At 39.5% G+C, this 23371-nt stretch overlaps 1 protein-coding gene across 1 annotated transcript in view, besides 1 other annotated feature; it reads left to right on the forward strand.

Moving 5' to 3' along the window:
- Positions 1-16814, forward strand: part of CPE (carboxypeptidase E) — a 119540-nt gene extending 102726 nt beyond the window's left edge. Inside the window, exons 4-9 of the mRNA NM_001873.4 lie at positions 509-626; positions 2689-2871; positions 5705-5844; positions 11438-11537; positions 13826-13944; positions 15779-16814. Of these exons, the coding sequence (NP_001864.1) occupies positions 509-626; positions 2689-2871; positions 5705-5844; positions 11438-11537; positions 13826-13944; positions 15779-15877 (759 nt within the window). The 3' untranslated portion in view covers positions 15878-16814. The remainder of the gene's footprint in view (positions 1-508; positions 627-2688; positions 2872-5704; positions 5845-11437; positions 11538-13825; positions 13945-15778) is intronic.
- Positions 11669-11838: a silencer, noted in NCBI's record as "silent region_15786". NCBI's record gives its function as "represses an Ori minimal core promoter by ATAC-STARR-seq in GM12878 lymphoblastoid cells {active_cell/tissue: GM12878}" and the evidence as "EXISTENCE:reporter gene assay evidence [ECO:0000049][PMID:35858748]".
- Positions 16815-23371: the final 6557 nt, after the last annotated feature.

Raw genomic sequence — 23371 nt, forward strand, 5'->3', positions numbered from 1 at the left:
TTGATAGGAACAATGTTTGAAGTAATTGAGGGAAGTTGGGAAAATAGTAAGCAAAATTTGGAAATAAACTTTACCACATGTTTGAACCACCACAGAGGACAAATCTTGTTCTGCAGTTCAATTATTTTCTTTTCTCCTCATATTATCCTTAACTATTCATAATAACAATGTGTGAACCACTACAGATCAGACAGCGATGTCCCAAAATTTGTGAGTTGCATGCTGGTTTTCAAGTTACAAAGAGAGGATAACTGGCAGCCCACAAAAATAAAACTTTGAAAGAAATTTAAACACTTTTGAAACATTTTTTATTAAAAATCTGAGAAAGTTAGACATGAGGAATACTGCTTTTGTAGGAACCTTTATTTTTTCTGTGAGGACAACAGCAAAATAGTTGAAATATGACCAGCTTTCAGTTTTTTCCTTTACCTTTCCTATGTCTTTTCTGTCAAGTGATCATACCAATGATTATTAAATTTATAATCCTTTTAATCTCTCATCTGAACAGCTTGCTCCTGAGACCAAGGCTGTCATTCATTGGATTATGGATATTCCTTTTGTGCTTTCTGCCAATCTCCATGGAGGAGACCTTGTGGCCAATTATCCATATGATGAGACGCGGAGTGGTAGGTATTCTTTCTGCTTCTCTTATTGGTTCAAAGTTTATAACACTGTACAAGGTTTTATAAGATGATTTCTGTAATTTTTTTTAAGGAACTGAACATTAAGTGATTTTTGCCTGAAGAAAGAACTATGTTTAACAGGAAGCTCTCCTAATCATTTCATATGGTGTTGGCATATCTATTTGGCAGAAAAGGACTCACTTTTTCAATAGGTTAGGTGAAGAGAAACGTGATCTTGACAGTACCTAGCCAACAGAAAGGGAGAAAACACACGTCATAAACTTGGGTCACTCTTGGACACTGATAAAGTGGAGAGATTACAGAAGTTGTGTAGGTTCATGTAGAAGATGGCTTAAACATGGGGGCAGCCTCTTGGTGCTTGATCAGGATCCCTGTGGATCTCTACATGTGTCTTATTGTGTTGACACAGTTTTGCATTTGGAACTGTTTCTGGTGGTGTCAGGGAGGGGAAGTGGTGCTTTGGCTTTCTCTAACTAGTTTTAGTTAAGCTTCAGACAAAGCAAGCTTTAGCCAGACAGATATTTTCAAATTGTTTTTTGTTGCTCCAGGGAATTTCCTGCTTTGGATCTATTTTCTGGGGCCTTTGAAGAGTTAGCTTTTTGTAAAAACAGGATGATTAGTTTGTTTTTTTTTTTTTAATTTTAGATTCGGGGTACCTGTGTAGGTTTGTTACACGGATATATTACATAATGGTGAGGTTTGGGTTTCTAGGGTACCCATCACCAAAAGAGTGAACTCAATAGGTAATTTTTCACCCCTCACCTCCTCCCATCCTCCCCGCTTTTGGAGTCCCCAGGGTCTATTATTTCCATCTTAATGTCCAGGTACACCCATTGTTTAGCTTCCACTTATAAATGAGAGTATGTGGTATTTGATTTCTGAATTATTTCGCTCCAGATAATGGCTCCTAGCTCCATCCATGTCGTTGCAAAATACATGATTTCATTCTTTTTAATGGCTGCTTAGTATTGCATAGTGTATATGTACCACATTTTCTTTATCTAATCAACCATTGATGGACAATTAGGTTGATTCCATGACTCTGCTTTTGTGAATAGTGCTGCCATAAACATATGAGTGCACATGTCTTCTTTATATAATAATTTCTTTTCCTTTGGATGCATACTCAGTAGTGGGATTACTAGGTTGAATGGTAGTTCTATTTTTAGTTCTTTGAGAAATCTCTGTACTGTTCCTCATAGAAGTTATATTAATTTACATTTCCACCAACACTGGTGGGAATCCACGACAACATCTGTTGTTTTTTGACTTTTTAATCATAGCCATTCTAAGTCATGTAATATGATATTGTGGTTTTAATTTGCCTTTCTCAGATGATTAGTGATGTTGAGGATTTTTCCAATTATTTTGACTGCTTGTATGTCTTCTTTTGAGAAAAGTCTGTTCTTGTCCTTTGCCCACTTTTTAATGGGGTTGTTGGGATGATAATTTTAGATATTGGAAACTGAGTGTTGAAGAACGTCTTTGGGGAAATAACATTGTTAAATAAATTTGAAGACTTTGTGGTTTGTTGATAATTGGGAAACTTGTAGGCCTGCATAATTTATAATGCATGAATAAGAACACAGTGTATCAAAATATGTTATTTATTTCTATAATACATACAGGAGATTTAAAAAATATAAAACCAGATATTGAATGGTATATATGAGAATGATTCATAGTGGGTATGAGGTTAGTATAGGTACATTTTTTAAATTAAAGATTTAATGATAAAAATCTTCCTCCTATTCTCCCAGGCCTAGTTTACTATGACTTTATTACCTTTCCCTGCAAAGCTTTCAACTCATAAGTAGAATGTACATTCTACCCAATTTCTACTTTGTAGTATTAGGAATGGAAATTTTGTAACTTAAAACTAAGTGTAATTATTTAGTATTTAAATTTTACCTCTTTCCCATAGTTATGTAGCTAAAAAAATACATCAACAATACAATTACTCAATACTGAATCACTCTTTAGAAAACATGCTGTGCTGCTTGGTCTGTGTCTGTTTCTTTAATCTTGTGGATTTGTTTTCTAGGTAGTGCTCACGAATACAGCTCCTCCCCAGATGACGCCATTTTCCAAAGCTTGGCCCGGGCATACTCTTCTTTCAACCCGGCCATGTCTGACCCCAATCGGCCACCATGTCGCAAGAATGATGATGACAGCAGCTTTGTAGATGGAACCACCAACGGTGGTGCTTGGTACAGCGTACCTGGAGGTGAGTTTCCATTGTGCTCTCTGATTATGTGATTGTAGCTTATTTACAATGACCATTTAGGTTTAGAGAGTGATTTAGATTTAGAGAATCTTCAATCGTCCTCCATCATTAAAAAGTAGACTGAATCTATAGTTCTTCCATTAAAGTCAACTTTTTGCGTGAATGATTACTATGTATAATTTTGTTTTTGTGGATTTTAAAAATTGTGATGCTAATTGAAGAGATACAGGAAATGAACTGAAGACATTCATTTGGAAAATAATAAATTGAATATTGTTAACTACCCTACTTTCCAAATTCAAGCCTTAGGGAATAAGATGGCATCCTTAGTTTATGCCAGTCATGCTCTTTCACTGTAGGTAAATATATATTTTAGAGGGCTTGTTTTGGCTTTTAGCATAACCTGGTGCACAGTACTTTTGTATTAAATGATGGGATAATGGGGAGTATTTGACATGGAATATTTAGTTTATGTTCACTATTCTAATAATCTCTATGAGATCAGGTAGCTTTTTGCCTTTTAGTCTGAAAAGGAAGCAGTTGCCATGTGGGACAGCAGCTGGGGGAAGCCCCTTCCTAGGTAGCCAAGGAAGCTCTCTTGCCTTCCTTGTCCCAAGGCGGACTTTACAGAGCTCGTATTTTCACTAACACTCAAGGATGAAGAGTGAAATGCGAAGATATTTATATATATTTTTACTTTTCTCTTTGCCTGAGAAAAATTTTCTATGGCCCACCTGGAAAAAGAAAATTTGTTAGGGTAATAAGCAACATTAGCTAATTGAAGGGTATTGGTATGTTTAATATGCTTAATTTTGTTGAATTATGTGCTGAGAAAAATATTCTTTCTGATTTTTTTCTTTCTGATACATGTTAATTCTGTTTTTATTTATATTTTGCATTTTATCCAGATCAGACTTAGTACTCTTTCCCCAATAGCTTCAGAAATATGATCTATGTCAAATTTAGGATTTAGAGCATGTCTAGTACATCAGATGGGAAGTAATTTTATACTTTAGTTTTTATAAAAACTTTAATGACTTCTTGGAATTCCTTTTTGAACAAATAGTGTATTGTCAACAAAATATAAAGTAATCTATATCAGTTAAATACTGATAATAACATTATTAACAATAGTAATAATGTTAGTTAACGATTACGTCTCGCTTAACTAAACAGTCAAAGGAAGCTCCGTTAGTCTTCAGTTCTGTATATAGTGAATAACATTCATGTCTTAGGTCAGGTTTTCTAGAAGCAGAGCCTGAGATAGGGATTTGGGTACTTGTAATTTATTAAGGGATTACTTTTTAGGACAAACCCTGTAGGGAAGTGAGGGAAGCAGGGCAAGGAAGGGGATAGAGCTAAACAGGGTTGTGGTCTCAGGCAAAGTCCAGCCTTGGCCTGAGCCATTGGAAGAAGCCTGGAGCATAAATTAGGGGCAGGTTTGTCTCCCCTTGAGAGAAAGGGACCAGCCTTTGGTGGCTCCATATCTGTCAGCCATTGGTTGTGGGGTGCCAGCAGGAATTGGGGGTGAGAGATAGCATGATGTAACTCCCAAGCCAGGTGGGAGATTCTGGCTCCCATCAGCAATTCTCTGGAAAAGGGGTGGGGGGGTAGCTGTGAGCTCTAACAGCCAACACCTGCAGCAGTTTGGGTCTGGATGCCCTGCCTCCATAAAAGCAATCTGGTGGGCACTAACAGCATCCTCTGCTAATTTGAGTCAGATTTAAATTAAAATTGTTCTGAATGCAGAATATTCTCTTTGGTGCTATTTGAAGTATTGTTATCATTATATCTTGTATGTAATTCAACTCAGGGATTGTTGAATTAGCATATAGTGTGAAAGGAAATTAAATTCTAGGACCCCAAATTCATTTAGCTAAAGGGAAAAGTCAAGCTGGGAACTGGGTCACACAAACCTGCCTCCCCATTTTGGTTCCTAAATAAGATGATTACAAGATGAAAGGGTACACGCCTCCCCCATATTTTGCCCACAGGGAAATTCTGGGTGAGCTGTTAAAACTTCACCATGGCCATGTAAATTGATAGCTTATCTTTACAGGTGCAGGCACCCCAGCCCACCAGACACAAATGCGTATCCGATTGCCCCCCTACCCCATTTTGTCTGCGTTATCTTATGTAAAATGCACATTCCCCACATTTTTCCTCTGTCCCCTTTGGTTTATGTGAAAACTCTGTGCTTATCAATATCCCACCCTCTCCCCTTTCAATTTGGAGCCCTCAAAATCATCTTCGGAGAGAGGCATAGACCTGTCTCTGGGGCGCATCCTTAACTTTGGCAAAGAAATCTCCTAAAACAATTGAGACTTGTCTCATCATTTTCCTTGATTGACAATAGTATATTGCCAAGACTCCCAATCCCTCAGGAATACACTATGATATTGATTGGGCTTAAGGAATAATATAGTATGTCAGATCATGTCACATGAAGCTCCAAGTTCTTCTCCAGTAGAAAGGTAGACTTAGAGGGATGTGCATTTCTTTAATAGATCAGTGGGGATGAAGTCTTTTACCCTGTTGTCTTCTCCGAAGCCCACTCCAGCAATGTGGAAGGTGGGTAATGTCTGCATTAGCACTCTGCAGCAGCAAATGCTTTTGCTTAGGAACCTGAGAGTTTGTGCTTTTAAGGTATAACAACCCCCGACCTATGTTGTTCAATCCCTTACAGCAGATGATTTCCCTTAAGTTTTCCCACAGGCTTCCCAAATGCCCTGGTTTGTGTACCTTTTACTTGGTTCTTGATTCAGAAGACTAGCCTGTGTAGAGTTTTAGGCTCCTTGTGCATATTTTGACTTTCCATTTGGTGTTTTGGCAGGGATGCAAGACTTCAATTACCTTAGCAGCAACTGTTTTGAGATCACCGTGGAGCTTAGCTGTGAGAAGTTCCCACCTGAAGAGACTCTGAAGACCTACTGGGAGGATAACAAAAACTCCCTCATTAGCTACCTTGAGCAGGTAAACACAGTCCCCAGCATAAAAATGCAAGGTTTACAAGCATTCAAACCTGTCCTACAATGGTCTTGTAAGAGGAGTCCAGGAGAATCCGTCTGGTGCAGAATGAGGATGCCATATTTGGAAGGCAGGTGTCAGCAGTGTTTCAGTTAGGCTTTTATTTGTCATAGGTTTTGTGGCTCAGGACTATTCACCAAGAACTGACTAAACTGGAGAGTATACAGAAAAGACGTAGACTCTCGTTTCTGTTTGTATTATTCTAAGCAAGGGCAATCCTAGGACTCTCTCCCACCCTGATCACCGTGAGGCATCCCAGGCAGAGCCAGAACAAAAGTAAGGCAAGCGAGGCACCTGAATGGAAAATTTAAGGAGGATTTTAATCTTAGGGGCATGCAAGTACAGGATTAGCACTTGAGAGTGAGTGTCTCTTTAAGTTTTGAGCTGTACAAGCCTCATCTTTCTCACCCTAGACTCAACTGCATCACAGGTAATAATAATAATAATGAGTTATGTTTGTCATTTACTATTTCCCAGGCATTATACTAAATGCCTTTTATGTAATAGTTAGTTCATTTAATCCACACAACAACCTTATGAGGGAAATTATCATCATCATCATTATAATCATCACTAAATTAAAGATGAGGAATCAGAGACACAGAGAGGCTAGACAGCTCACCTGAAGTTGCTTAGCTAGAATCTGAATCAAGGCTGTCTATTTCCAGAATCACCATGCTGTACTGACTTTCAGAACAGAAGCCTGGATCTTTACCAGAGAGTCATTTATGTAGCCATTCCAATGTGATCCATATAGAATTTTGGGGGATCTCACCATCTGCCAGAATAAAATCCTTTACCTACTCAGGCCAGTCCTCTGCCAACCCCACCCCCTGCATAGTATGTAGACACTGGCCCCAGAGGCAGTGGCAGTGGAAAGACCTAAGACTCTGTTCATTCCTGCAGTTCTTTGCCAGTCTTCAAATTTTATCCTGAATGTGGCCATTTACACCTAAAGTCAAGTAGAGTGATGTTAGTTTCATGTGCCAACAAATAGTCCAGACCAATCTGTTAAACTAATTTGACATAAAAAAGCTGTTAAATAAACATTTAAGTATTTATATGTGTATATGTACATATAAACATATACATATAAAATCAACACTTTTTTTAAAGTAAAACCAGGAGTTGAATCCAGTTTCTTTCTCCACCATTGCAAGGCTCTGTTGCAGTGGTCCCTATAGCTTGCTATGGCCTCCTTTGAATAAAGGCTGCTCTAAAAAAAAAAAGAAGAAGAAGAAGCAAAATCAGCATAGGAATTCTTTTACACATGTCAAATATCCATATACTGTAATACCTTACCAGGGACTGTCGTGGAATAGATCCACTGATGTCAGATGGTGATTAAAGAGCACTCATTCCACTGGATTCTTTTTAAATCAATGGATTCCTGCTGCATGTTAGCTTAAAAAGGTATTTTCCAACAACAAAAACTAAGGATAAGCAGTCCACGATGACTCTAGAACAACTTTGGTGGGAACCCCTACAGAATGTCTCCTTTGAGGAGAGCCGTATTTGGATGGATCTTCTGAGAGCAAAGTTAACTGAAAAGTATGTTTTTGGATAGAGGAAGTAAGATGGGACTGATTGGGGTGTTCTCCACTTACATATCAAATACAGTGCTTTTTATTTTAATAAATATTTAATAATCTTTAAATGTTTAATAATATTTGTCTTAATACTCCTTAATACAGTGCTTTTAATTTTATGTATATAGTTTTTCAACTAAAATGTATTGACTAGTTTCACATCCCAGGCATTCTGTGAGGCACTGGGGATAGTGACCGTCCTCAGGAAGGCTTCACACGAGTGCTGTCAGAAACAAGAATACCTAATCACAAGAGAGGAGGAGAGCTGGCTGAAAAACAATAAAAGCTTAGCTACAAGGAGCAATAACAGTACACAGAAGGGGACCTAACCGAGTCACGGGAGTTTGGAAAAGGCTTCTTGGAGCCGGGCTATAAGATTTACTAAAGTTGATGCCAATAAGATCATCACTGTGATCAACAATTTAAAAACATGCTTAGCTGCTGTTTAAATCATCTCTTAGTTCTTGAGAAAAAAAATAATACAAAACAAATAAAACACGTCTTCTTACCATCAGGAAAAAGGAGATTTGTCATACTTATGGTAGCAGGTGGGCATGCATCCAATTCATCTGACAGTAATATCAATTTATATATAAATAAGCTAAAAAGAAGAAGGTTAAAGTTATACAATCCTATTTTATGCCACGCAAAATAAGAATTTGCTCTGTCCACAGATCCATGTGATCTACCTTGATATGGCATTGTCATTAGGATGCAAACTGTGTCTAAGCAGTGAGTGGTATTTATAACCAGCTCATCTAGCTTGCATCATAGAACACTCCAGTTTAGGAAAACAAAGGCTGATGAAAAATCAGTGAGGGCTGCCAGAAGTTCTGTGTTGTAATTGTTGTCTTGACAATGGTGGTGATTAGTAATTGAACACCTGGGCCTAAAATCTAAGCTTGGACTAGTTTACAACTCATGGAAAATAGGTGATTAGGAGATCTATTTCTGTAATTGTTTGAGAGGAAATCCCTTGCAGAGTTTTAAAGAGATGTTTGCAGGGACTAGAATTGTAAAGCTAATTAGAGTAGAGAGTCTGCTAAGGAGAAGAGCCTCCCTTCCACTCAGTAGCTTTGAAAGAGTCTAGTTCTCAAAATTCTCAAAAAATTTCTTAAAGAATGGTTCATGGGCCAGGCGTGGTGGCTCACGCCTGTAATCCCAGCACTTTGGGAGGCCGAGGCAGGCAGATCATGAGGTCAGGAGATCAAGACCATCCTGGCTAACACGGTGAAACCCTGTCTCTACTAAAAATACAAAAAATTAGCCGGGCGTGGTGGCATGTGCCTGTAGTCCCAGCTACTCCGGAGGCTGAGGCAGGAGAATGGCATGAACCCGGGAGGCGGAGCTTGCAGTGAGCCGAGATCACACTACACTCCAGCCTGGGCGACAGAGCGAGACTCCGTCTCAAAAAAAAAAAAAAAAAAAAAAAAAGAATGGTTCATGGGCACCTGCATTAGAATCACCTAGAGTTCTTATTAAAAATGAGTTTCCTCTCCTACCATTGAATCACACTCTCTGCAGGGCAGGACCGAAGTATCTTCATTTGCAGCAAGCTATCTGCGTGACACTAAGTACATGAGGGTTTAGGGGCTATAAACAGTCCTAGCAAAAATGGAGAATCTTCTGGAGGCTTTTTCAGCCTTCGCTGAAACTGAGATGTCCTGGAATCTGGGGAGCAATCATTGCAGGCACCGCAAGTGTAGTAAAACAGCTTCTCCAGGCATGAGTGAAATTTGGACTTTCGTGATTTCTTTTGCAAAAGCCATACAATCTGAATTTTCCAGTCTGAATTCATGGGGGAGTTGACACAGCCCATACACTTCTACTGAGATTTATTACTACACTGGAATTTTTCAAACAGAAAAGTTGACATATCACAGACAGACATTTACTTCTTTAACTATTTGTTAAACTGCATATTGCACATATTGCAATATAAGTCTTGGATTGCAGAAGCAGAAAAAAGTAAAGCCATGAATATTAACCTAATATATTTCTGCCTAATACAGGCAAATAATATGTTCTTGTAGTGATTGATTTACTTACTTTACAATGATGTGGGAATTAGAACCTTTCTTTAAGGCTTATGCTATTGATAATTTCAGGATTATAGTGCCTCAAGAGGAATAAAGTACTTGGGTAAAGCCTCTTTTATCAGCTAGCATCTTTCTAAGTTTTATTGAATGGGGCCTCATTTTAAGAAATTTAGAGTTTGGGTCTCTATATATAGCCCTTTTCTTCTTCTCTACACTTTTTCTGATTTTTCATCTTTTAATTCAGAAAGTTAAGTTTTCATGTTTCATGTTTTCCAATGGCTGAATTTCAAACTCTTTTCAATTTTGGTTGGCTTATTAGTTATGGAGAAAAGTTAGAATTGAATAAATCTTAAATTTTTAAAAATATATTTACTCTACTATACTGGTTGCCAATAAAATGATCATTATTACTGTTTCCTATTTGCAACATTAAAAAATTACATGTTATTTTTATAGGGTGTGAGAGTTTTCTTTTTTTTTAAGAAAAATGGCACACACAAAAAATATTGCTGGTAACAAGGCACATCTTTTTGATAAAACAGTGTACCACTGCCGAATTTATTCTTTGATGACAAAGGATTACAGGAGACTTATCTGTCTTCTGTAGGGAAATAGTCAAGTATCATAAGTAGCGAAAGACAATTTATTTTCTATAGCCCGATTGAGTGAGGCACAACCTGAGCATTTGGGAGGTTGGTGCATATTTTGTTGAGTAATCAAGTTTAATGCATTACGATTTGATATTCTAGATGCAGTACTTTCTTAAAGACCTGAAGCGACTCTGTCACTTCAAACACATATTGACTTAGATGAATTGTCTTTCCAAAATAAAGAGAAAAGCAGTTTTTGTAGTTTGCAGTGTATTAAATAATAGCCAGTTGATGACTACAACTTAATTTAGGGGGATTATTTTCAATGGCAGCTCTCCCATCTTCTTTCTAAATCAACATTCTATTTTCTGTTATGAGGCTCACTACTCTATTTTCAGCCAAAATAATGTTAATAGATTTAATGCAAAAGCAGTCACAGTATATATCTTTTTATCCAGAATGAGCTAATATTAACAGGCTTTTATTATGATATCCTTGTTAATTGACAGTAGCCATATAATGAATACACAGGTGACCAAAATTGAAAGAGAGTAAGTTATGAAATGCACTAAGACTAGAACTTTACACATATTGGAGCAGGACGAGCTGCAGACAAAACCCCTCAGACACCGAGTTAAAGAAGGAAGGGCTTTATTATTCAGCCGGGAGCATCGTCAAGACTCATGTTGCAAAAACCCAGCTCCCTGAGTGAGCAATTCCTGTCCTTCTTAAGGGCTTACAACTCTAAGGGGGACCGCATGAGAGGGTCGTGATCAATTGAGCAAGCAGGGGGTACGTGACTGGGGGCTGCATGCACCAGTAATTAGAACGGAACAGAACAGGACAGGGATTTTCACAGTGCTTTTCCATACACTGTCTGTAATCTATAGATAACATAACCGATTAGGTCAGGAGTCCATCTTTAACTACCAGGCCCAGGGTGTGGCCCCGGGCTGCCTGCTTGTGGATTTCATTTCTGCCTTTTAGTTTTTCCTTCTTTGGAGGCAGAAATTGGGCATAAGACAATATGAGGAGTGGTCTCCTCCCTTAATATGACACTTTTTAAAATGATTTGGAAGGTACTAAAATCTTTTTTTTGGGAAGCAAACAAGACATTAATTTTCACTTATCTATTTAGGGAAAAGCAGAATAAAATGCACAAAAAATTCAGTGGCCTTTTGTGCATGTCTTGATTCTTAAACAATGGGGGTCTACGGTATTTGCTGGAAAATAAAGAGATGCTTGATATGAAACATATTTAAGGCCATTTCTATAAATTTATAGGTCATATTAATTTTTTGGTTATTTTTGACCTTCACAGATACACCGAGGAGTTAAAGGATTTGTCCGAGACCTTCAAGGTAACCCAATTGCGAATGCCACCATCTCCGTGGAAGGAATAGACCACGATGTTACATCCGGTGGGTCTTTGCCACAATTGGAGGCTCTACGTTATGTACAAGAGCATAATTACTAATTATCATAATTATAAGTCTTATGTTCTTCTAAGCAAAACAAATAGCTCGTATCTCTACAGCGTTTCTCAGCTTTGATCTGGTGAAGTTTCCTTTGTGGGCTCAGGTCAGGCGGAGTGAGTGGAGCCCAGGGCGGCTGCTGCGTTAGAAATCCGGGTGCAGCAGATGGCGCCCTTTCCTCAGCTATCTCGCCCCAGAGCTGGGAGGTGGTGCCACAGGCTGCCGATTCTTCGCGGTTCTTCAGGCAAAGGAAAAGGAGCTGCTGGAGTTAAAATACCAGTGACTTTCTAGTCTCTGTTAAGAAGTGCTAACGAGCTGCGAATGGGGAGACCGAAGGAGGGAGCGGAAAGAGGAGGAAGGAAGAAAACTGCTGCGGGTTGTGTGTCTAAAAATTCTCACACAGTTTTTCATTTAATCCGTATAATAAATCCGCAGGGATTCAAGGTTAAACAAGAGTTTATAGGATTGAGGTGCGATGTTAGTGACTTCCAGGTTTTGAGCTCCATTTCCATTTCCCCAGTTTGAGGAAAATGATGCATTTTTCTGGCAAGTCTACCTACTCGCATTAATAAACATTGATCCAGGTCATTTTAGTTTGTCATTTGTTGGGATCTTTTCAATAATGACAACTTTTTCTTTTTAGCTGTAAACTCTTTACAATTTTTTTTAGACTTTGTGACAATTAACCTTTAACTTATGTCCCAAACCACTCTGTACCATCAACTCTTTCTTAACCTTCACATTTATAGCTTGGATTAAAAAAAAATCTTTAACATTTGTCCTCTAAAACTCCATTCATTCTTCATGTATCAACAGCCCACTAGGTGCCAGCCAGTATGCCAGAATCTGTGCCAAGATGTCAGCCCATGTAGCCCCTTAGCCCTTAGCTGAGAGGGTGAAACCCAGCGTTAGTATCCCTGCCACAAGAAACCTGTTAGCCCTAATATGTCATACAAATATTTTATTTTCTCTACATTCCATGATGTGAAATGTTTAGGAAAATCTAACCTAGGGAATAAACACGTGGGAAGAAATTAAATCAGAGGAGGGGCTCTAGAATACTCCAGCTTTTCAGGGACAAGGTGATAATAAGAAGGAACCAGCAATAGAACTGACGGTAGAAAATGAAGTGTGTTGTACTGAAGGTAGAAAATGAAGTGTGTTGTCCTGGAGGCTTTGAAGTGCTTCAAGAAGAAGGGAGTGAAAAAGCGTTAATTAAGATGAACCTTGTGAATGAATCCTTGGATTTAGCAGTTCAGAGGATCTTGAAAAAATCTGTTCAATGGAGTGAATGGTGGGATCCTGATTGGACTGGGTCCAAGACAGAATAAGAAAAGAACCATTCTGAGATTGAGAACATGAACAAACCTTTCCAGAAATTTTGCTATAAAGCAAAAAGACAATTGAGGCACTAGCTGCAAGGAGATGTAGATTTAGAGGTAGATTTGATGATACGGTGATGGGGGCTTAATTTTTTTGACTGTACCTATTTTTGCAATGAAATAAGATGTAAAGTAACAACTGGGAGGTTGAACAGGATGTGTAGGGGTGTTAGGAAAAAGGAGAAGGTGTGAAGTGTCTACGAAAACCTTGCTCTTCAAAGTGTGGCCTCTGCTCGCAACCTTAGCATTGCCCTGGGGCTGGTCAGGAATGCAGAACCTGGGAGCTGGAATCAGATTTTTCATTTTACCAAGTTCCCAGGTTTGCACCCAAGTTTGAAAATCACTGACTTAGGTAAATGGGAGATTGAATGGACTAGGGTGCCCAGTGTATTCTAAGTCTTTAGAAATCTAAATTTCTAACTAGGACCTCAGAGATCCTACAAGGGCTACCTTTGGCCCACACTCTGTGAAGATTCTCTGACCAGCAGGTCTTCACCTGGCAAGAATCAAAACATGATGGCTGTATGTTCTGACCCTGCTGCTTGGGGAATTCATCTGTCTTTTTACCTGTGTTGCTCCTGATGTGATTAGAAGATCTATGATCGTACGAGGTTTATTAGACAATTTAACATTGATATCTATAAAGTAGCTATAAGAAATGAAGCCTGTAAAGAGAGTTTCACACCCTATTCAATAAAATTTCATTAAATTCCCTATATATTTACTTTAAAAATCGAGAATCAAAAAAGGTGAACTGAGCTAGACTGGGTATTCCTTAGATGGCATAATTATGCATTGTGTAATTCTGCATATTTCATGTGCTTTGTGATTTGATATTCTGCCTTCCTACAGCAAAGGATGGTGATTACTGGAGATTGCTTATACCTGGAAACTATAAACTTACAGCCTCAGCTCCAGGCTATCTGGCAATAACAAAGAAAGTGGCAGTTCCTTACAGCCCTGCTGCTGGGGTAAGTAATCATAATAATAGCCAAACGCTATAATAATAATTAAGCATTTATCATTGTCAGGCATACTGAAGTGATTTATATTTAATCTTCGTACTAGCCCTATGAGGTAGGCAACATTGTTATCTCAACTTAACAGATGAGAAAACTGAGGCTTAGCAAAGTTAATATGAAGCTCTATTACCATTTCTCAGTTTTTGAAGAGATTTACAAGAAAATGAAATAAAACTTTAAAAAATTAAATTTTTATTTGCTAACCTTGATTTCCATCTCAATGGGATTATGTTTCATTTGCCTTTTTATCTTTAGCACCTAGCGCAGTGCCTTTCTCAATAAGTATTTGAAAAAAAAATGATGCATATAAGAAAATTTTAGGTGGTAACCAAACACTTATTTAGCATATTTTATGTGCAAGGCTCTCTGTGCTAAGTAGTATCAAAAACCATATCTTATTTAAGTAGATCTCATTTGTTTGTTAGGAAGGTGATGGTGATAAGACCAAAACTTCTCTTAGAGCAGAATTTTACTACTACCTTTGTATTATATGCCTGGGACCGTGGGAATACCTGTAGGATTTCTTGAAAGTCTAAAAAGCTTACTTGAAAAGAATTTATTATTATTTTTGTTTATGTACCCAAAACTTGGAGTATAAATGCTTGATTTATGCAAACAAAATATCTTGAGTTTTTAACTGGTATATGGTTTTGATTGTGTGCATGTATGTCTACATTGGGCTGTATATGTATTAAAATCAAGAGGTATATTTGGGTAACTGAAACCTGGAAAAAATGGCCCTGGGAACAAGTTGTAAAGGTTCAACTATTTTGATCCTTTGTCTTTCTGGCATGTGTTAGTGCAAGGATATAGTCAGTGTAATCACGATCCAAAATAATCAGGCGTTTAAGTGGCCAAATCAAGAAACTCTTAGTTCCATCTGGGATGGGGCCTGAGGGGATTGGGGTTGGGGGCTGCCTACTTTGAATAGCCTTTTATGCGGAGTGTGTGGCTTCTCCCTAGACCTGATGAAGATTCCCATTCACAAAGAGAGTGGCTTGGACACATACGTGCTTTTGTCAGTTTCTTTAACAAATTCAAGATTCTGGATAGCAGAACCTTGTGGTTTGGGATACCAGCATGCTGAACTGTATTCTTCCACATTCCCTCCCACATTAGGAAAAGATTCAAGGCTGACAGGAGGTGCTCACTAAATAACCAAAGGCAGAAAATTAACTATAAGTTACATCCTCTTTTTTTCTTTTCTTTTTTGAGACAGAGTCTTGCTCTGTCGCCCAGGCTGGAGTGCAGTGGCACGATCTTGGCTCACTGCAAGCTCTGCCTCCCGGGTTCAAGAAATTCTCCTGCCTCAGCCTCCTGAGTAGCTGGGATTACAGCGTGCGCCACCGTGCCCGGCTAATTTTTGTATTTTTAGCAGAGATGTGGTTTCACCATGTTGGTCAGGCGGGCCTCGAATTCTTGACCTTGTGATCTGCCCACCTCGACCTCCCAAAGTGCTGGGATTACAGACGTGAGCCACCGCGCCTGGCCAGTTACATCTTTTTATGAGGAGAAGAGACTGGGGCAAGAATTTTGTTGAATTATATCTGTCTTCAAAGCTATTAAATCAAAGGACATTTCAAACATAAGGCTTTTGAATTTTGCTTTTGAATTTTTTCCCCCTGAAAATATCTTTTGTTTATTGCAAGAGATTTTATTTCAGGATTTACTTTAATTCAGGTGGCTGGATTGAGTGTATACTGAAACTGCTCTTATTTTTTTATTTCAATTTAAAAAAACACATGCAGTTTGATAATAATATGTTCTTGATTTTCTCTTTTAGGTTGATTTTGAACTGGAGTCATTTTCTGAAAGGAAAGAAGAGGAGAAGGAAGAATTGATGGAATGGTGGAAAATGATGTCAGAAACTTTAAATTTTTAAAAAGGCTTCTAGTTAGCTGCTTTAAATCTATCTATATAATGTAGTATGATGTAATGTGGTCTTTTTTTTAGATTTTGTGCAGTTAATACTTAACATTGATTTATTTTTTAATCATTTAAATATTAATCAACTTTCCTTAAAATAAATAGCCTCTTAGGTAAAAATATAAGAACTTGATATATTTCATTCTCTTATATAGTATTCATTTTCCTACCTATATTACACAAAAAAGTATAGAAAAGATTTAAGTAATTTTGCCATCCTAGGCTTAAATGCAATATTCCTGGTATTATTTACAATGCAGAATTTTTTGAGTAATTCTAGCTTTCAAAAATTAGTGAAGTTCTTTTACTGTAATTGGTGACAATGTCACATAATGAATGCTATTGAAAAGGTTAACAGATACAGCTCGGAGTTGTGAGCACTCTACTGCAAGACTTAAATAGTTCAGTATAAATTGTCGTTTTTTTCTTGTGCTGACTAACTATAAGCATGATCTTGTTAATGCATTTTTGATGGGAAGAAAAGGTACATGTTTACAAAGAGGTTTTATGAAAAGAATAAAAATTGACTTCTTGCTTGTACATATAGGAGCAATACTATTATATTATGTAGTCCGTTAACACTACTTAAAAGTTTAGGGTTTTCTCTTGGTTGTAGAGTGGCCCAGAATTGCATTCTGAATGAATAAAGGTTAAAAAAAAATCCCCAGTGCATGTATTTCAGTTCTCTAAGATTTTTGGTCTGGCATTGTGGTCTTATGATGAAAACATGTATCCTCTTAATGGCGGCTTCTCATATATTCATCCTGTACATTTTAAAATTTGTTAAGCAACTACTGTGTGCTAAGCACTGCATAGCCTCTATGTATGTTATTGTGGCAGGCAAAAGGTTCTGATTTTGGGCACAACCTTTATATAAATAACACAAAAATTAATGTTTGGACACAAACTCTAAATCAGTAACACACTGGTTAATATGTAATTATGCATTGTGATAAGTAAAATGACAAGAAAGAGTAGGGAAAGAGAAAGAATGACAGAGCAACTTAAATTAGACTGGATGAGAAGAGTCAGGGATGCATCTTAATGCACAGACCTAGAATATTGAGTGGGTGTGAGCAGTGCAGAGTGCAGGGGTGTGTGTGTGTGTGTGTGCATGGTGGTGGTGGTATGGTTGATCAATGCTGCAAGTGTAAGTTTTGGTTAAAATCGTGCTGTTATAATAGTAGGCCCCCACATATATCCTGGGTTAAACACAATGGAAGTGTATTTTTTGCTCAGGTACCTATACTGGAAAAAGACAGAAAGATGGGGTGACTTTTCTTCACACAGTCTGGGACCACGTTCTGGGATCCATTCTGACAGAAGATCTGCCATCTTCTGCACACGTCCAACACTGCCGCATTGGTGGTCGTCTCCATTGCAGCCAATAGGAAAGGGGAAAGAGCAAGGGGGAGAATGTAGAGGGTGTTCTTATGGGCAGGCCTGGGAGTGGTGTACATTACTTCTGTTCACATCACACTGCCTGGAATTGTACATTCTTTGGCCACAGTAACTGCAAGGGAGTCTGGGAAAGGTAGTCTAGAAGTGTACCCAGGTAGGTGAGGAGAAGTGGACTTTGGGACAGAATAGCAGATGCAAAGGCATTGGGGTAGGAAACACATGGCTTGATGGAGATTGAAGAAGGACAGATGTACAATTGCCTAAGAGAAGCCCACAGTGAGAAGAAAAATGAGATTGAAACTGAGCTCTGAAGAGCTTCAAAATTTTGCTTCTTGAGGTTTAGATAAGATAGGATAGACTGGAGTATGCTGCCGTAAGAAGCAACTCCAAATCTTAGCGTTCTAACTTAATAGTAATTGATTTTTCATGCAAAGTCTGTAGGTCTACGTAACTCTCCAGGAACTTTGCGCTGCATGCTGTGACACAATTATGTAGAATGTTTCCACGTGCGGTTCTGCCATCTCAGCACAAGGTTTCCTCAGTCTCCTGTGTTGGTCGCAGAAGAAGATAACTGGGGCCACTACTGCCCACAGCCCACAGGTCAGAGCTAGTTACATGGCCTTGCCTAACCACAATGTTTGGTAAGCATTGTCACTGCCGTAGTCCTCTCTCTGGTGCCAACACAACTTTGCTCTCCTGTTTCCAAAAGTAGGACTCACTTTGCAAGGGAGACGATTTACAGCCACATCAAATCATGGCTTTGAGCTTCAATTTCAGGATCTCTGAGTGATCTCACAATAGTCTCTATGTCAGGTCTGTACATGGCCAGTCCTGTTTCAGGGACAAGTAAACTAAGAAGACAGGTAAAATGCATCCCTCACCCGCAGTGTGCAGTGGTAGAACAGGATCAAGACAATGTGAGGAAACACTTCCACAGTGGTGAGGAATGAGAGGGGCCCAGCATTCAGGCCTGCAGCAACTCAGAAATCTTGCCGAGCAAATACTTTATGGGCCTCCTATTTTGGGGGTGGAAAATGTTTCTGGTTTCAGAATTCATTCTACACTTTGGCAAGAGCTTTCTTTCTTTTCTTTTTTTTTTTGAGACGGAGTCTCACTGTGTCGCCCAGGCTGGAGTGCAGTGGCGTGATCTCAGCTCATTGCAAGCTCTGCCTCCTGGGTTCATGCCATTCTCCTGCCTCAGCCTCCCGAGTAGCTGGGATTACAGGTCCCCACCACCACGCCCGGCTAATTTTTTTGTATTTTTAGTAGAGATGGGTTTTCACCGTGTTAGCCAGGATGGTCTCGATCTCCTGACCTTGTGAGCTGCCCGCCTCGGCCTCCCAAAGTGCTGGGATTACAGGCGTGAGCCACCGCGCCCAGCCAATAGCTTTCTTTTCTTATTGTTCTCCATGGCCTTAACTTTGCTCTCTTAAACTTCTCTCTGTTCACTCGGGACCTAGGTTGGTGGAGGTCCTGACTTGCATAGCTGTACCATCTGGAATGTGGGACCTCCCCACTTACTGCAGAGGGAGGGGAGGAGAGACTGGAACTAAGGAGTGGACCTTCATTGGCTTAGCCTGGAGGTGACACATGTCACTTCTGCTCACATTTTGTTGTCCAGGACTAGTCAGGCGGCTTTGCCTAACTGAACAGAATGCAGGAAATGTAGGGGAGGACACAGGTTATATGTCTCCACTACAGGGCCATATAGACCAAATGGACTACCTATTCGATTGTTGGAAGGAAGTTGTTAGGTCCACGTAGTCTTGTCCTTGCACCCATTTTTCTTGATAGAGGGCTTCAAAGCTCCCTGTCCTGGTCATGCTGTTAACATGCTCCAATTTTATCTGATGGCATAGGGGACATAGAATTGAGCACTGTTGGCCGGGTGCGGTGGCTCACGCCTGTAATCCCAGCACTTTGGGAGGCTGAGGCGGGCGGATCACAAGATCAGGAGATTGAGACCATCCTGACTAATACAGTGAAACCCGTCTCTACTAAAAATACAAAAAATTAGCCGGGCATGGTGGCGGGCGCTTGTAGTCCCAGCTACTCGGGAGGCTGAGGCAGGAGAATGGCGTGAACCCAGGAGGTGGAGGTTGCAGTGAGCAGGGACCGTGCCACTGCACTCCAACCTGGGTGACAGAGCAAGACTCCGTCTCAAAAAAAAAAAAAAAAAAAAAAAAAAAAGAATTGAGCACTGTTGGGAGGGAAAGTCCTTTCCCTGGTCTCATGTTTTTGTGTTGAAGGACCTCCATTGAAATACAACTCTTGGCCTGTAGTCTCACTCCTCACACACTCCTTCCAGCAGAGAAATTAATTACCTAATTGCTAGGTGGTGATGGGGTGCTAACGGGGTAGAACAACTCTATCAAAGGACTGTAAACTTCCCATTTTCCTCCCTAGAGACAGCTCCAAACTTTCCTTTGGGTGCAGAGGGAGGCTTTGGATGTGTATTTGGATACAGGAGAGAGTTGGCAGTCACAGAGTATTAATAGGCTCTTTGGTTCACAGATCTAATGTCATTTTCTCCAATTGGTTTATCAATAATAAAGCTGACAGTTTAAACTCTTGTCTGTCTATTGATCTGTGTTTTATTTTTCAACTGCTTCTGAACTCAGGAGTAGAAGAAATAGGCAACTTATACTGAATGCCTAAAATTTTTAAGAGGCATAAATATGTAGTATTTTAGATTTGTGGCTTTTTTTTTGTAAAAGTAAAGTGGGGCCAGGCGCGGTGGCTCATGCCTGTAATCCCAGCACTTTGGGAGGCCAAGGAGGATGGATTGCCTGAGCTTAGGAGTTTGAGATCACCCTGGGCAACATGGTGAAACTCGGTCTCTACTAAAAAAATACAAAAATTAGCCGGGTGTGGTGGCAGGCGCCTGCAGTCCCAGCTACTTGAGAGGCTGAGGCAGGAGAATTGCTTGAACTTGGGAGGTGGAGGTTGCCGTGAGCCAAGATTGCGCCCCTGCACTCCAGCCTGGGTGACAGTTGAGACTCTGTCTCAAAAAAAAAAAAAAAAAAAGTGAAGTAGGCAGCACCTTTCTCTTTTGACTACTCTCCTTCTTCCTCTTCTTCTTTCCCTTCTTCCTCTCCTCCTCCTCCTCTTCATTTTTGTCTTCGTCGTCTTCTTTTTCTTCTTTCTTGGGATTCCCTCTGTTGTCCAGGCTAAATTTCAGTGGCCCCATCATGGCTCACTGTAGCCCTAACCTCCCAGGCACAGGCAATCCTTTCACCTCAGCCTCCTGTAGCTAGGACTACAGGCACACACCACTGCACCCAGCTAATTTTTGTATATTTTGTAAAGACAGGGTTTTGCCATGTTGCACAGGCTGGTCTCAAATTCCTTGGCTCAAACAATCCATCTGCCTTGGCCTGCCAAAGTGCTGGGATTACAGGCATGAGCCACCACACTCGGCCTATACTTCTCTTAATTCAGTCTAAGATGATACTGACATTTATTTGAAGTTAAGTCACATTGTTGTTTCATATAAACTTAAAATAAATGAAAAATCTGAACTAAGATTTTTTGATCTGGTTTGGAAGTGAAGGTTAGAGCAGTCAAGGATATGGGAGATACATGAGCTGAAGGTTAAACAGATCTGGATTATGAACAAGAGGGTCAAATTGCTTTAGGTAAGAAAAATAAGAAGAGAAGGGGACTGAGTAGTTGATTTTAATGAAATAATGAACATATTTTGAACTTCGCTTTCTTTCTCTGTCATTGACAATGAAAATCAGACACATTACTATGGAAAAATAGCTAATCTTAACTCATTTTGATTTCCAATTTTTCACATAAACAAAGGTAAACATTACTTGCAGAAAGGGAAATATGAACTTTGATATTCATATTTTATTTATACAGACAACTTCTGAAATCTTTCCATGATTTGGTGTTGTGGGAGGCCGAAAACCATCATTTGTTCCAACATATTGCTCAACTTGTCTTTTCAAAATTCCCATGACGATTGTCTTCTGTGGTTAGGACTGGATGGCATTTGGAGTTTCTGCCTCAAAAATGTCAAGATAGAATATACCTAAGCTTTTATGTCTCACCTTGTAAATACGCTCATCCTGGTTTTGCTGTTCTTAAGTAAACATCTTTCTAGGCACTTACAAATGGTCTGATTCTTTACTCTTTCATTTTTTTCTCCTAGACTATCAGCCTGTGAATCAACTCAATCATGACTTGAATTTCTAGGGTAGTACATAATTTTAGTTTTAATTTAAATCATTGCAAAATTCCCTGAGGATCAGTGTTTTTAAAAACAATTCAAAGATTTGGCTTAGCTGGGTTAAGGGTCATCAGTGTGACCCAAGCTGATATTGACTATGGTCTGTAATGATGACTCAGAAAAGAAAAATCCCCCTCGTGAAGCTTACTGAAAATTTCCATGATGTCAGGGGCCACAAGGCTGTAAGCTTTTGGAGGGTGTCATAGTTTCTTAGACCTCTTACACATTATCCTGTCTTAGCTCTTTTAGTATTCTACCTCCTTCCTTTTCCTTTCTCCATTCTTTCCTTTTGAAGATTCATTCAGCAATTACTAAGTGCTCACCCTGTCTTCTCTACCAGGGATTCCAGCAGCACTTTGCTATGGTCTATGGTCACCACCACCATCACTGGAATCATCATCACCATCACTACCATCCTCACCATGACTGAGTGTGTGTCGTATGCTGCACTCAGCGCTAGACACTTGAAATGCAGTGTTTTGAAACCCAACTACAATATTTTAAGGTGAGAAGTGATGCAGCTGTCCTATTTAACAGATGAAGAAAGAGATTCAGAATTTAAGTTAAATTTCCCACTTCATACGGCTGAAATGTGGCAGAGCAAGATTACAGCCTACGTCTGCCTTACTTCTAGTCCATCCTGTTTCCACCTTACCTCACTTCTTTAGCATGGCCTGGAAAGAATTGTGTACTTCTTCATTAAATGTATCTTTGTTTTATATTCTTTTGACTATTCACACATGCTGATTGCTATACTTTGGGCTTCAGGGGAGTATTTATTACCTGTTTTGAAAGAAGGCCCTTTAAAGATGATTTTAAACATTTTTCAAGTAAATGCAATAGCTCTTGTTTATTGCTTCTTGCCATGTGGAATTACTGTAAATCCAATTAGTTTGATCAAGTTCCCTGTAGACATGGTGTTGTTTGGCACAGATGTTATGTTTGATCCTGACATTATGCAGTAGAGAGACATGTTTCAGGATTTGCCAGGGTGGTCAGCAGAACAGGGCAGCTGAGGACAGGGACTCCTGGCATCACAACTGCCTCCTAGTCTCCCACTCCCCTAAGAGGGAAAGGATTTCCTGGAAAGCCCACGCAGCTGCAGGGTTTGGTTGCTGACGTTCTGTCTGTTTTGAAGTTATAGTCAGGGCAGGCAGCAGCAGGGGTGGAGTTGGAGTGTACAAAATGGAATATCAAGAGCCCTGAAGTCAGCAAAAAAATTAATGTAGACAACACTTGAAAATAAACGAACATAGACCCTCAGCATGCATTGTGAGGCTTCCTCTCCTGGGCAAAGGTTCCCTGTTAGTATACATCCGGAAGGAAGACTGCAAGGAGGGTCCCGTGGTGCACATATTAAATGAATTAATTTATGTAAGGCACTTAGAAAGCTGCCTGGCGCGTAGCAAGTGCTCAACAAATGCAATCACTATTATTATTACTTAATAATGTGTTATTATTACTCAAAGATGGGTTACTACTGTTGCTCAAAATGTGTTTTATTTTTATTGTTACTGCTCTTATTACAAGGTAAGTTGTGAGACTTGGTACTCGGAAACTAGAATCATGGAAGAAACCCAGGTTAAAGACCCACCGGTAAGGCCATCTCACCACATGAGGTGAAAACCTAGTTATCAGAAGAGCGATAGTGTAATACTGGGTTATAGATAAGAATCTTTTTTTTTTTTTTTTTTGAGATGGAGTCTCGCTCTGTCGCCCAGGCTGGAGTGCAGTGGCGCAATCTCAGCTCACTGCAAGCTCTGCCTCTCGGGTTAAAGTCATTCTCCTGCCTCAGCCTCGCGAGTAGCT

Source organism: Homo sapiens, chromosome 4 (genome assembly GCF_000001405.40).
Source record: "Homo sapiens chromosome 4, GRCh38.p14 Primary Assembly".
Taxonomy (NCBI): Eukaryota; Metazoa; Chordata; class Mammalia; order Primates; family Hominidae; genus Homo; species Homo sapiens.